The following is a 13,855-nucleotide window of genomic DNA, read 5'->3' as shown; positions in this document are numbered from 1 at the left end:
AGAGACCCTGTTGCTACAAAAAAATTTTAAAAATTAGCTGGGCATGGTGGTGTGTGCCTGTAGTCCCAGCTACTGGGTGGAGATGGAAAGATTGCTTGAGCCCAGGAAGTTGAAGCTGCAGTGAGCCATGTGTGCGCCAGTGCATTGCAGCCTGGGTGACAGAGTAAGACCCTGTCTAAAAAAAAAAATAAAGGAAAATAAAGGAAAAAAGAAAGGAAACAGAACCCCATCTCTACCCCAGAAGTCCGTCATGTGTGCTAGTCGTTGCTGAAAAGTGTTTTTATTTCTATTCATGCTCATGCCTCTTCAGCAGGAGTAATATTCCACCCCTTCTAGAAGGCATCTTCTGGGGAAGCCTGAGTTCACTGGTCTTCCTATTTAGTCTCCTGAGATCCTGCTGCCCCTTACGGGTGGTGTCCCAGGCGGCCTGGCTGTCGGCTCCTCTGGTTACTTCTACAACCAGTGCATCCTGGAGATGCTGGAGGGGCCTGCTGTAGCAGGGAGGTGGGGGAAAATGGTCCTCCCTGGCTCAGGCATGGAGGGTAACAACCCCTGCTCCCTGGTGTGGCCAACCTGCAGAGCCGAGCTTGGGCACGATGCTCACAAAGTCACCGTCTCCTCTCTGCCGAGGTGACCACCTTCTGTCCTCCTAGTCAGCAGGTGTCAGGATGGGGTCATTGCCTCAGAAGGGCATGAGGGGAAAGAGGAAGGGTTGGCCAACTTCGGTGGTAGCAACTGTCCCCTTCTTACATGGATCATGCGGCCCTAATGGCCACTGTGCACAGTGCCCGCCCGCCTGCCTGCCAAGCATGCTTTGCACACTGGAATTCACTGCTTTAGCCCTTCCAGCCCAGAGGGAGGGGCTGTCATTAACCCCATTTTACAGAAAAGGGTCTGGAGGCTGGAAAGGTGGGCAGTGCAAGGGGAGTGTGAGCACGATCTGGGGAAAAATCAGGAGGGGAAACGGCTCCTTGGACATGGGCTCCTCGGGGTTGAGGTGCTCTGTGCCCAGCCCTGTGCTGCCCACCCCTCCCCCTGCACTAGCACCCTCCCCTTGCTGCAGGTCCTCCAACGCTGGCTGTCCAGGCCAAGTGTGATCTCTGCTTGTCCAGTCCGTGCCAGAACCAGGGCACCTGCCACAACGACCCCCTTGAGGTGTACAGGTGCGCCTGCCCCAGCGGCTATAAGGTGAGTGGAGGCAGAGGCCGGGGAGGAGGAGGGCTCTTCGTGTACACTGCAGGGCTGTCCCCAGGGCCCAGAGCACTGCCTGACTCAGAGCAGATGCTTGAGTGAACCTGTAATTAATGACTTAACATATGAATGAATGAATGAATGAATGAATGAATGAATGAAGTGGACGAATGAATGAATGAAAACAAGTAACTCCTGGGACAGGGAGAGGCTGAGCTGCTGAGGGTCTGGCTGGCTGTTGGCTCATACTAACTCCTGGGTCTCCCTGGGGTCCCCATCACTGACTTTCCCCCCAGGGTCGAGACTGTGAGGTGTCCCTGGACAGCTGTTCCAGTGGCCCCTGTGAAAATGGGGGCACCTGCCATGCACAGGAGGGCGAGGATGCCCCGTTCACGTGAGTTACCTGGAGGGGCAGGAGCCTGGTGAGTGCTGATGGGCCCAGCACCTGTGCCTCAGGGCCCTCCTCTCCATCAGGGATGGCCCAGGCCTCCTGTGCCCTGTGGGGAGGTGGAGGCGCACTGTCGGGGGCAGGCATGTACTCCAAATCATAGCCAGAGGGCTCTCCAAGCCCACCAGGCCAAGCCCTTCCTTGCGCAGATGCAGTGGGAGCACAGAGAGACCAGTGGATACCTAAGCCGCACAGCTCCCCAGCTCCAGGGTTGAGCAGGGCTTGGAGTGGGCTCTGCTGCCTCCTGCTCCAGGCCTTCTTCCTGCTCCTGCCAGGTGCCATGGGGGCCTTTTTGAAGGCACTCGGATTCCATGGCCAAAGCATATACAGTGCAGTGCCAAGGACCACAGCAGGGGTGTTTGAAATTCCTATAAATTTCCATTCAGGCCGTGCTCGGTGGCTCACTCCTGTAATCCCAACACTTTGGGAGGCCGAGGTGGGCAGATCACGAGGTCAGGAGTTTGAGACCAGCCTGGCCAACATAGTGAAACCCCATCTCTAATAAAAATACAAAAATTAGCTGGGTGTGGTGGCACGCGCCTGTAATCCCAGCTACTCCGGAGGCTGAGGCAGGAGAATCGCTTGAAACTGGAAGGCGGAGGTTGCAGTGAGCCAAGATCATTCCACTGCACTCCAGCCTGAGCAACAAGAGCGAAACTCTGTCTCAAAAAAAAAAAAAAAAAGAAAAGAAAATTTCCATTCACCCCAAAGCCTCCAATCTCCCTCGAAGAGCCTGCTCCTGACAGTGCTGCCTGCAGACAGGGCCCTGGCCAGCCTCCTCAAGCTGCCCCCTGAGCCCCTGAGACACAGCTGGGGCTGCCACTGGGTGGGTGAGGCCTGCCCAGAGGTGGGAGCCAAGGCCTGTTTGCTTTCTCTGGGGTCCCCCCATCTCATGAGTCACACTGGGCACTGTGGGAGGGGATAGCCCTCCGGCCCTGCCCTGAGCAGCCCATTTTCTGCTATTCAGTGAAGGGGCCAGCCCTAATGACCCCATCTCTTAAGTCCTTCCAGAGCTGACATCACAACGCAAGCGCCCTCCCACTGGCTGCTCCCCACAGGACCGCCCAATGAGCCCCACCCTCCCAGAGCTTTTCTGAGGAATACATAGTATTTAGTTGCTGAAAATAAATTGCTGGCGCAATACATTGGCTCTTCCGAAAATGATGTTGAATCTGGGGGCAGAAATGGCTGAGCCTGCCTCTGCATACCCAAATTACCAGATGTAAAAATGAATCACTAAATGGCCTCTCTTCCCCTGGTTGCCTTGGAAACGGCGTCCTTACACTCTGCACCCAGCCTCCTCGGGGCTTCGGTGAGCAACTCCCTGGGCGCGCCCTCCTCATTCCTGAGACGCCCCAGCTGGGGGCTGAAAGGACACCCCCTTCACCCTGAGATGGGGAGATGGGGCAGCCCCCTCACCTCACTGCCTTACAGAATGCGGGCTGCGGGAGTGGGCTCTCCAGGTGGAAAGGGGGTGCCTCCACGAGTTACCCCTCAACCCCAAGGCTCTCTGGGGCACCTGTTATCCCCTGACCTGTGTCTACTCCCGCTACCCTGCCCCAGCTCGTACCACAGGCCACTTTCTGAAATGTGAAACTGACCCTGTCACCCCAGCTTAAAACCCTGCTGCTGGTCCCCTCCAGCCTTCAGGGAAAACAGTTAACCACAGACCATTTCCTGCAATGGTGATTTGAATTCTTTTTACTCACAGACTCCCCAGATACATTCTAAAAACTATACACTCCCTCACACATCCTTAGATTGACAGCTAAAATTTTCATTTTAAGTTTTTCATTGCAAAGGAGGTAATTTTTCCAGATATTATAAATATTATTAACATTTAAGAATAAAACTATCACTTTATTTGGGAGGCTAAGGTGGAAGGGCCTTAAGACAAGTAGTTGGAGACTAGCCTGGGCAACATGGCAAAATCCCCATGGCAAAACCCATCTCTACAGACAATTAAAAATTAACCAGGTGTAATGGTGAATGCCTATAGTCCCAGCTTCTCAGGAGGCTGAGGAGGGAGGATCACTTGAGCTCAGGAAGTTGAGGCTGCAGTAAGCTGTGATCATACCACTGCACTCCAGTCTGGGCAACACAGTGAAACTGTCTCTAAAATAAAAAAATAAATTAAGCTTTAAAAATATGACATTAAATCACTCTTTTATCATTCTCCAATGCAATCTAAACAGCACATCATTTTGACACTTTTTTTTTTTTGAGACAGAGTCTCGCTCTGTCACCCAGGCTGGAGTGCAGTGGCGAGATCTCGACTCACTGCAACCTCTGCCTCCTGGGTTCAAGCAATTCTCCTGCCTCAGCCTCCCGAGTAGCTGGGACTACAGGCATGCACCACCACACCCGGCTAATTTTTGTATTTTTAGTAGAGACGGGGTTTCACCATGTTGGCCAGGCTGGTCTCAAACTCCTGACCTCAAGGGATCCACCCACCTTGGCCTCCCAAAGTGCTGGGATTACAGGCATGTGCCACCCCACGTGGCCAATTGGATACCATTTTAAAATGACACGAACAAGTTCTTCTTTAACAGTTAAACATTTTACCTTGTTCTTTTTTCTCCTCTAACTAGTATTTCCATTTTACTCCTTACCCTCCTGTCTTTTTTTTCTAACCAAATATATTTTTATGCTAGACTCTTTTCTTGAGTACTCTGCCATGCGTCTCTGTCCCCAACATGGGTACACGTAAGTTAAAACTTAAAGTTTTTTTCTTATTTCTCATCACCATAAGCCTCTGATTTAAAGTTTCTTTTGCAGCGAGTTATCCCTACAATAATTCGAAACAACATAACTGTATTATAGAATTGGATTGAAAATTATTACACATAGAAGGAAAATTTTATTGGACTGTATCTCTCTTAATGAGATGGATGGGTGCTTTTTTGTTCTTTTCTTCTCTCAGTTGGTTTATGGGTGAATGTTGCAGAATGAGAGAGGACACAGCGTTTGATCTTTTCCTGTTTTGTTTTTATAGATATAAATGCTGGGAAGTTTGTTCATGTAAATAAACTGGTGAGATTAGGAGTTTTATTATAGCCATGTCACTTAATTCTTTGAAAGCCCTCCCAGTTTTTATGCCAAATCTCCACAGTGACCTGTCATCAAGATTATTTTTAATGTTCTATCAGCTGACAGTTCTATGAGGCCTTCCTTCAATTACTTCCAGTGCACAGAACTGGAAACCTCTTGACTTAGATTGCATTTATTCATTCACTTTCTAAACATCAGGATTCCTAACTGCCCATTTATTTGGCACCTGGAAGCATGCCCACCTTTCTACCTGGAGGGCTTGTCCCATCACCCCCCAGTCTGTAAGGGCTGGGGCTGGGACAGATGCCACCTTTTTAGAGTTCTGAGCTGGGTCAATTTAGGGAAGAGCTCGTGCAGATATTTGAAGATCTGGAAATTAATTTCTTGGACCTCTCTCTGATCCACACACCCCTTGGAAAACCTTGGGTGCCCCAGGGGAAGGTGTATCTTGGTTTGAAAGTCACTGATCCCCAGGGCCCCTCATGACCAGGCTCCTGCTCACCGCAGCCCTTTGCTCACTGTGCTCCTGAAGTATTGGACTGTGTGGATGGGCAGGGCCCCTATAGAAGACTAGCTGTGGGGTTCCCTTCCACTCTAGGCTTTTTTTTTTTTTTTGAGACAGAGTCTTGCTGTGTCACCCAGGCTGGAGTGCAGTGGCATGATCTTGGCTAACTATAACCTCCACCTCACAGGTTCAAGCGATTCTCCTGCCTCAGCCTCCCGAGTAGTTGGGATTACAGGCACATGCCACCATGCCCAGCTAATTTTTGTATTTTAATAGAGACAGCGTTTCCCCATGTTGGCCAGGCTGGTCTCCAACTCCTGACCTCAGGTGATCCACCTGCCTTGGCCTCCCAAAGTGCTGGGATTACAGGCATGAGCCACCGCACCTGGCCACTCCAGGCTTTTACACACACCTCTGCCCCAGTCACCTTCCTCCCATTCCCGCTCTCCCTTGTCAAGGTCCTTGGTTAATTCATCACCTCCTCCAGGAAGCCTGCCCTTATCACTTTGTGCCAAGGAGGAGCCAGGTGTCTCCTGCCCCTCTGTGCCCGCTCCCTGGCTTCAGTGCTTACACCATCCTGGTCCTCACTACCTCTCCCCTCGCCATCCATCTCCTTTTAGCCTCCCCACTAGACTGTGAGTGAATCCCATGAGGGCATGGTCAGTCTTGGTCACCTCTAACCCTACCCAGCACCTGGCAAGGGCCTGGCCGGGATTAGGGACCCTAACTCCGTGGAATGGTGATATTAACCGGCAGCCACAGGCTTCCACCAGTGTTCCAAGAGGGCTGTCTCTCCATCCTCCCCTTCCCCGCACAGGTGCTCCTGTCCCACCGGCTTTGAAGGACCAACCTGTGGGGTGAACACAGATGACTGTGTGGATCATGCCTGTGCCAATGGGGGCGTCTGTGTGGATGGTGTGGGCAACTACACCTGCCAGTGCCCCCTGCAGTATGAGGGTAAGTGCGTCAGGGCAGCAGTGTCTGGGGGAGGTGGGGAACAGAGACAGCCCTGAGCCCCCATGCTCGGGAGTGGAAGGGGATCCCTGCCTCAGTGTCTGCAGGAGGATTTCTGTGGGTCTGGCTGCCCGGCAGAGCACAGGAGAGCAGCTTCTCTCCTGCCCCTTGCTCGTTCTTTCCCCAGGAAAGGCCTGTGAGCAGCTGGTGGACTTGTGCTCTCCGGATCTGAACCCATGTCAACACGAGGCCCAGTGTGTGGGCACCCCGGATGGGCCCAGGTGAGTGTTGCCCCTTTCCAGGGCCAGGGAGGAGCTCAGGCCCCTGAGTCAGACTGGATTCCAGTCTGGGCTCCGTGCCCCACCCTCATTCCCTCATTTGTCCAATGGGTTTGGTCTCAGCTCTACAGGGTTCCTGAGAATCCATGCGGGGTTGTGGGTGGAGGGGTGATGTGCACAGCTTTGTGGCCACAGAGACCTGGGTTTGCAGCATGACCCTGAATGTGTCACTTGCCTGCTCTGAGCTTGTTTTCTCATCTGTAAACTGGGCACAACAGTAGCTTCCTCCTGGGGTGATTGCAAGGGTAAGATGAGAAAATGCATGGAAAGCACTTAGCTCCCGGTCTGGCATCTGTTAAGTGCTCCAGGCTATTATTCCAGATCTACCATTTCTTATCCCCAGTTACAAAATCCACAAAACTCGGGAAAGCATCCCATCTCATGGCCAGATCTGATCTGAGGTGGACGTATTTGGTAATAAAAGCTGCCCCGCACTGGTGTGAGATTGCTTTTTGTTGTTATTCATCCCACGTAATGTGAATATGTATAGATTTTGTGGCAGAAATGTGAATAAGTCTGATTACGGGGCTGCCTCAGCTCCTACCAGCAGGTTGTATAATATGCATTGTCTGACCTTACGAAAATCTAAAAAGTGTTGAATTCCAAAACCTATCTGGTCCCAGGAGGTTTGGGTAAAAGTTGTTGGTCTGTATTTTCATCATGGTTGTTATTGGCATATGTGAAAATGTTTGTTACTTGAAGACTGCTTTATGAAGGTTACGCAGTTTTAAAATAATGCTTCCAACTGCAGTTGTGCAAACGTAGTCTCATTTCTGGGACCTCCCCATTCCACCAGTCAGGCCAGCAAGGGGTGGTCAGGGCAGAGCTTCCTGGGGCTTGTGGCTGAGGGACCCAAGCCTAGGGACTCAGATGGAGTCCCCCAGGAGCCCCCTGTCTAGCTGGAGCAGCCTGAGGCCCATGACAGGAAGCAAGAGCCCAGGATTGTTGAGGCCTGGTTCCACGGTAAATGGGCCCACAAGAGCCTCCATCCAAATGGTAGACGGACGCTGTACTCCTGTGGGGGCTCCCAGGGGTGGGGCTTGGCAGGCAGACCAATCAGCAGTGGCAGATTGGGCAGCATGCGCCCTCCTTGGAGGGTGGAATAAGGCAGGACTGCACGTTGTCCAGCCTGGAGCTGCTAGCACAGCCCCTCAATCACGAAGGGCAAGCATTGTGCTTAGCTCCGGACCCGGGGTTGTGGCACACAGTGGAGCGTTGAGTGCGTGTTCTCTCAACTGCCTGTCCTGGTGGAAAGATGGAACTGACATGTTCAGCTGTGCCTGGCATTACCTGGAACCCAAGATATATATCCAGTATATAGTCATTAAATGGATGAATAAGTGGTGGCTTAGCTACTGTAACATTTTTCAGACTGTAACTCCAGACTCATTAGTAGACTGTGATCAATTGGATATAAAGGGAGCCCCAGCCCCTGTTTAATATTAATGTCAAGATTAACATTAAAAGATGAAACAAAGTATCAGACAGCAACATGCCATCTTATATAATAAGGATAATCAGTATTGTTGTATGAATCTGGTTTCGAATGTGTGCGTGTGTGTGTGTGTGTGTGTGTGTGTGTGTGTGTGTGTGTGTGTGTGTGTGTGTACTGGGCTTGAAAGTATTTCTTATAGCCCGAAAAACACTGGACAAGGAAATGAGTAAAAATCCCAGGCAAGAGCACCCATCTGCCAGGTTGCATGGTTGAGCTTCAGAGTTAGGAGTTTAGAAGGCGATCAGACAAGGGGACTGCTCAGTGAGGGCTGGAGTGCTCTCCAGAGGCTTCCTGGAGGAGGTGAGGTATTGGGCTGGCTGGACCATGCAGGCAGACAGGAGACGGTATTCTGGAATCCACAGGTGTGAAGGCAGGGAAGTGCTTGGTGAGGTGGGCTTGGTGTCAGGGGAGCAGGAGGTCTGTAGGACAGACAGCAAGGCCATTACTAGAAAGGGCTACAGGAGTGCATCCTTTATTTATTTGATAGGCAGACAGGAGCCCAAAGGGAGTGTTTTGGGCCAGCAGTGAGGCATGGTGGCAGCTGGGAAGCTGGGGGCTTACCTGAGGTCAAGGCACCCACTGAGCAGGGGGCACTAGCCCTGCTGAGGACTGGGAGGCTGGAGAAAGAGGAGTGGGGGAGCCTGTGGAACTCAGTCACATGGTAGTGGGTCCTGGGAGAACAGGGAGGGTGCAGCTGAGCTGCTGGGGAGGTGGGGAAGGGGCTGACAGTTGGCCTTGGATGTGCTGTTGCTGGTGAAGGTGGGTCCTCCATGACAAGACTCCATCTGCCCCTGCTACTGGGGTCCACTCTTCCAGCCCCAGGCCCCTACCTCAAGTCCACATGAGCTCTCTTCTACTAGGAAAGGGTCCCAGGATGGGCTAGGGGCCCTTTTAGATCCAGAGCTCTGTGTGACCTCCTGGAGATCCCCACAGCCTCAATGGAACTTGAGGTTCTCCCTCACATGTACAGACTGTGTGGGGGATCCCTGGTGCGCTCCCCTGGCCTCCCAGACTCTGTGTGGCTGACCCCCCAACTACCCCTGCCCCCCACCCACTAGGTGTGAGTGCATGCCAGGTTATGCAGGTGACAACTGCAGTGAGAACCAGGATGACTGCAGGGACCACCGCTGCCAGAATGGGGCCCAGTGTATGGATGAAGTCAACAGCTACTCCTGCCTCTGTGCTGAGGGCTACAGGTGAGCAGCCCCTGGACACACTAGGAGTGACTCCTTGTGGCTGTCAGCCCCTGGGCTGGCAGGAGCCTCCAGCCATGGCGAAGGAAAGGGGTGTGGGTCAGAGCCTGGAAGTTGGATGCTGGGGTTTTAACCGTGGCTCTGCCAGTCACCAGCTGTGCAGCCTTGGGAAAGTCATGTAACTGCCCAGGGCCTAGGCAGAGGACCCCTAACCTGTTTGGTGGAGGGCATGAGAGGTGGGTGCAGATGACAGGGCAGTGTGCTGTCACTTACCTGCCTACCTGAGCCTCTGAAGACATGTCTTGCCCCAAAGATTATCTACCAGCCCACTGGGCTCCCCTGGGAGGTTGGAGGGCCCACCCTCCCTCTGGCCACCCACGTCCCATGCTCTGCTCACTCATTTGTTAAAAAATAGCTTTATTGAGATATAATTCATGTACCATACAGTTTACACAGTTACATGTAAAATTCCATGACTTTTAGTTTATTCCCAGAGTTGTGTATCCATCACCACAACCAATTTTGAACATGTTGATTTCCCCTTAAAAAACCCCATACCCTTTATCTGTCACACCAGCCCCTCTTCTATCCCAGCTCCAGGCAACTACTAATCTCCTAATATTTGTGTCTATAAATTTGCCTGTTCTGGGGATTTCCTATAAGTCGAATCGTACAGTCTGTTGTCCTTTGTGACTGGCTGCTTTCACTCAGCATCATGTTTTGAGGTTCATCCGTGTGGTAACATGTGTCGGCACTTCATTCCTTCTTATGGCTAAACAGTGTTCTGCCGTATGGACATACCACATTTTGTTTACCCACTCATCAGTTGATAGGCATTTAGGTTGTTGCCACTTTTTGGCTATAATGAAGACTGATCTTATCGACATTTTTGTACAGGTTTTTGTGTAGACATACATTTTTCAGTCTCTTGGGTATATGCGTAGGAGTGGATTTTCTGAGTCGTATGTTAACTGTATGTTTAACTGTTTGAGGAACTACCAAACTGTTTTTTCCTAATGGCTGCACAATTCCCACCACTATTGTATGAGGGTGTGAAGTGGTAGCTCACTGTGGTTTTGATTTGCATTTCCTCAGTGGCCAATAATGTTGAGCATCTTTTCATGTGCTTATTAGCCATTTAAAAATATCTTCTTTGGAAAAAATTTTTATTCAAGTTCTTTGCTCATTTTCAAATTAAGGTATTTGTCTTTTTGTTGTTGAGTTGTAAAGGCTTTTTATATATTCTAGACAAGTCCCTTATCAGATATATGTTGGCAAGTATTTTCTCCCATTTTGTTGGTTATCTTTTCTTGATAATGCACAAAAATGTTTAATTTGGGTATATCTAGTTTAATAATTTGGGCATATCTAGTTTATTTTTTATTTTGTTGCTTGTGCTGTGGGTATCCTAAGAAACCATTGCCTAATCCAAGGTTATGAAGATTTATACCTATGTTGTCTTCTAAGACTTTTATAGTTTTAGCTCTTATATTTAGGTCATTGATCCATTTTGAGTTAATTTTTATATATGGGTAGAGGGCCCAACTTCATTCTTTTGCATGCAGATATACAGTTGTACTAGCACTATTTGTCAAAAAGATAATTCTTTCCAATTGAATGGTCATGGCACTCTTGTCAAAATCAGCTAACTTTAAATGTAAGGATATTTCTGGACTTCAAGTTCTATTCCATTAATCTGTATGACTATCTGGATGCTAGTGCCACACTTTCTTGGTTACTGTAGTTTTTGTAATATATTTTGAAATTGGGAAGTGTGAGTCCTCCCAGTTTGTTTTTCTTTTTAAAGATTGTTTTGGCTGGCTGGGCGCGGTGGCTCACACCTGTAATCCCAGCACTTTGGGAGGCCGAGGCAGGCGGATCACAAGGTCAGGAGATCGAGACCATCCTGGCTAACACAGTGAAACCCCACCTCTATTAAAATACAAAAATTAACCAGGCATGGCAGCAGTCACCTGTAGTCCCAGCTGCTGGGGAGGCTGAGGCAGGAGAATGGCATGAACCCGGGAGGCAGAGCTTGCAGTGAGCCGAGATCGTGCCACTGCACTCCAGCCTGGGTGACAGAGTGAGACGCCATCTCAAAAAATAATAATAATAAATAAATAAATAAATAATAAAAAATAAAAAAAGATTGTTTTGGCTGTTCTGGGCCCCTTGAATTTCTGTATGAATTTTAGGATCAGCATGTTGAGTTCTGCAAAGAAGTCAACTGGGATTTTGATAAAGATTCTGTTGAATCTGTAGATCAATTTAGGTAGTATTCCCTTTTTTTTTTTTTTTTGAGACAGAGTTTTGCTCTTGTTTCCCAAGCTGGAGTGCAATGTCACAATCTTGGCTCACTGCAACCTCCACCTCCCGGGTTCAAGCAATTCTCCTGCCTCAGCCTCCAGAGTAGCTGGGATTATAGGCATGTGCCACCACGCCTGGCTAATTTTTTGTATTTTTAGTAGAAACTGGTTTTCACCATGTTAGCCAGGCTGGTCTTGAACTCCTGACCTCAGGTGATCCACCCACCTCGGCCTCCCAAAGTGCTGGGATTACAGGTGTGAGCCACCATGCCTGGCCCAGTATTGCCATTTTAACAATATTAAGCATACTGATCCATGAACATGAATGCCTTTCCATTTATTTAGATCTTCTTTAATTTCTTTCAACATTTTGTAGTTTTCAAAGTATAAGTTTTGCACTTAAAAAATTTATTCTTACGTATTTTATTCTGTTTGATGCTATTGTAAAGGAATTGTTTTCTTAATTTCATTTTTTGTTTGATTTTTGTGCATTAATCTGGTATTCTACAATCTTGCTGAATTATTTCATTAATTCTAATAGCATTTTACTGGAATCTGTAGGATTTTCTTATATAAGATCATGTCTTCTGGATGCATTTTATTTATCTTTCCTTTCCTCCTTCCCTTGCTTGCCTTCCTTCCTGCCTGCCTGCCTGCTTTCCTTCTTGCCTTCCTGCCTTCCCCCTCTCCCTCCCTCCCTCCCTCCTTCCTTCATTCCTTTTCTTTCCTTTCCCTTTTTCCTAACTGCCATGGCTAGAACTTCCAGTAAAATATTGAATAGAAATTGTGAGAGCAAATATCCTTGTGTTGTTCCTAATCTTAGGAGGAAAAAATTCAGTCTCTCATTATTAAGTATGATGTCAGTTGTGTGTTTTTTGTAGGTGCCCTTTATCAGGTTGATGTAGTTCACTTCTATTCCTAGTTTGTGGAGTGTTTCTGTCATGAAGGAATGTTGAAGTTTGTCAAATGCTTTTTCTGCATCTATTGAGATGAACTTTTTTTTTTTGCTTTTTCATCTATCAATATCATGTATTCCATTAATTGAATTTCAGAGGTCAAACCAGCCTTGCATTCCTGGCGTAAATCTCACTTGGTCATTGTATATAATCCTTTTTATGCTGTACTTGATTAGCTAGTAATTTGTTGAGGATTTTGGTGACAATATTTATAATAGATATTGGTCTGTAGTTTTTTGTGATATCTTTTGTTGTGATGTCTTTGGTTTTGGTATTGGGGTAATGCTGGTCTCATAGAATGAGTTAGAAAGTGTTCCCTCATTTTTTATTTTTTGGACAAGTTTGTGAAGAATTGGTATTTATTGTTTTTAAATGTTTGGTAGAATTCACCAGTTAAACCATCTGGGCCTGGGAAGTTTTCTGATTACTAATTCCTTTACTAGTTATAGGTCTATTCATATTTTCTATTTTTTTCTTGGTTCAGTTTTGGTAGTTTGCATATTTCTAGGAATTTGTGCATTTCATCTGTTTTCTAGTTTGTTGGTATATTGTTGTTCATAGTATTCCTTTATAATTCACTGTATTTCTATGAGGTTGGTAGTAATGTCCCTTCTTTTATTTCTTATTTTAGTAACTTGACTCTTCCCTCTTTATGCTTGTGTCTTAAGTCTCAGTTTTCTTTTCTATAAAATGGGTATAGTAAAATCTGCCTTGCAGAGTTATTGACATTGTCAGTAATCACCTTGGATCTTGTTAAAAAGCAGATTCAGTGGGTTTGCCATTTCTATCAAGTGTCCAGGTAATGTTGACGCTGCTGGACCAGGGACCATACTTGTATCCTGGTATCCTTCTGGCTCTCAGCTCTCTCATGAAAAGTGTTTATTAGGAGCATCTTCTGTCGCTTTAAGAATCCATTTTCCCAAGATGTTTAGTGAATTTCTCTCCAGGGCTGTGGGAGAGGAAGATACTCCCTTCCTCCTTGGCCCTCTCTGACTTATGTCCTTTCCTCTCAGTGGACAGCTCTGTGAGATCCCTCCCCATCTGCCTGCCCCCAAGAGCCCCTGTGAGGGGACTGAGTGCCAGAATGGGGCCAACTGTGTGGACCAGGGCAACAGGCCTGTGTGCCAGTGCCTCCCAGGCTTCGGTGGCCCTGAGTGTGAGAAGTTGCTCAGTGTCAACTTTGTGGATCGGGACACTTACCTGCAGTTCACTGACCTGCAAAACTGGCCACGGGCCAACATCACGTTGCAGGTGCGTGCCAGGGGGCTTGGTCACAGAGGGGAGTCAGGGAGCAGGCGACCCTGGCTTAGGCCAGAGCATCAGGATACATCCCTGCATGGTGCCTGGGGAACTGGAAGGACTCTGTGTAATCAAAACGTTTTGCATATGGGTATCAAAATCTCAGCTTGAACTAGTTT

The 13,855-nt window shown here is 48.4% G+C and overlaps 1 protein-coding gene across 1 annotated transcript in view; it reads left to right on the top strand.

Moving 5' to 3' along the window:
- The window catches only part of SLIT1 (slit guidance ligand 1), a 187,922-nt gene that overhangs the window by 165,789 nt on the left and 8,278 nt on the right, over positions 1-13,855 (top strand). The window contains exons 27-32 of the mRNA NM_003061.3: positions 1,064-1,188; positions 1,488-1,585; positions 6,013-6,152; positions 6,337-6,430; positions 9,041-9,178; positions 13,451-13,688. Of these exons, the coding sequence (NP_003052.2) occupies positions 1,064-1,188; positions 1,488-1,585; positions 6,013-6,152; positions 6,337-6,430; positions 9,041-9,178; positions 13,451-13,688 (833 nt within the window). The remainder of the gene's footprint in view (positions 1-1,063; positions 1,189-1,487; positions 1,586-6,012; positions 6,153-6,336; positions 6,431-9,040; positions 9,179-13,450; positions 13,689-13,855) is intronic.

The sequence above is a fragment of the Homo sapiens genome, chromosome 10 (genome assembly GCF_000001405.40).
Source record: "Homo sapiens chromosome 10, GRCh38.p14 Primary Assembly".
Classification (NCBI taxonomy): Eukaryota; Metazoa; Chordata; class Mammalia; order Primates; family Hominidae; genus Homo; species Homo sapiens.
This window is presented reverse-complemented; position numbering and strand designations above follow the sequence as displayed.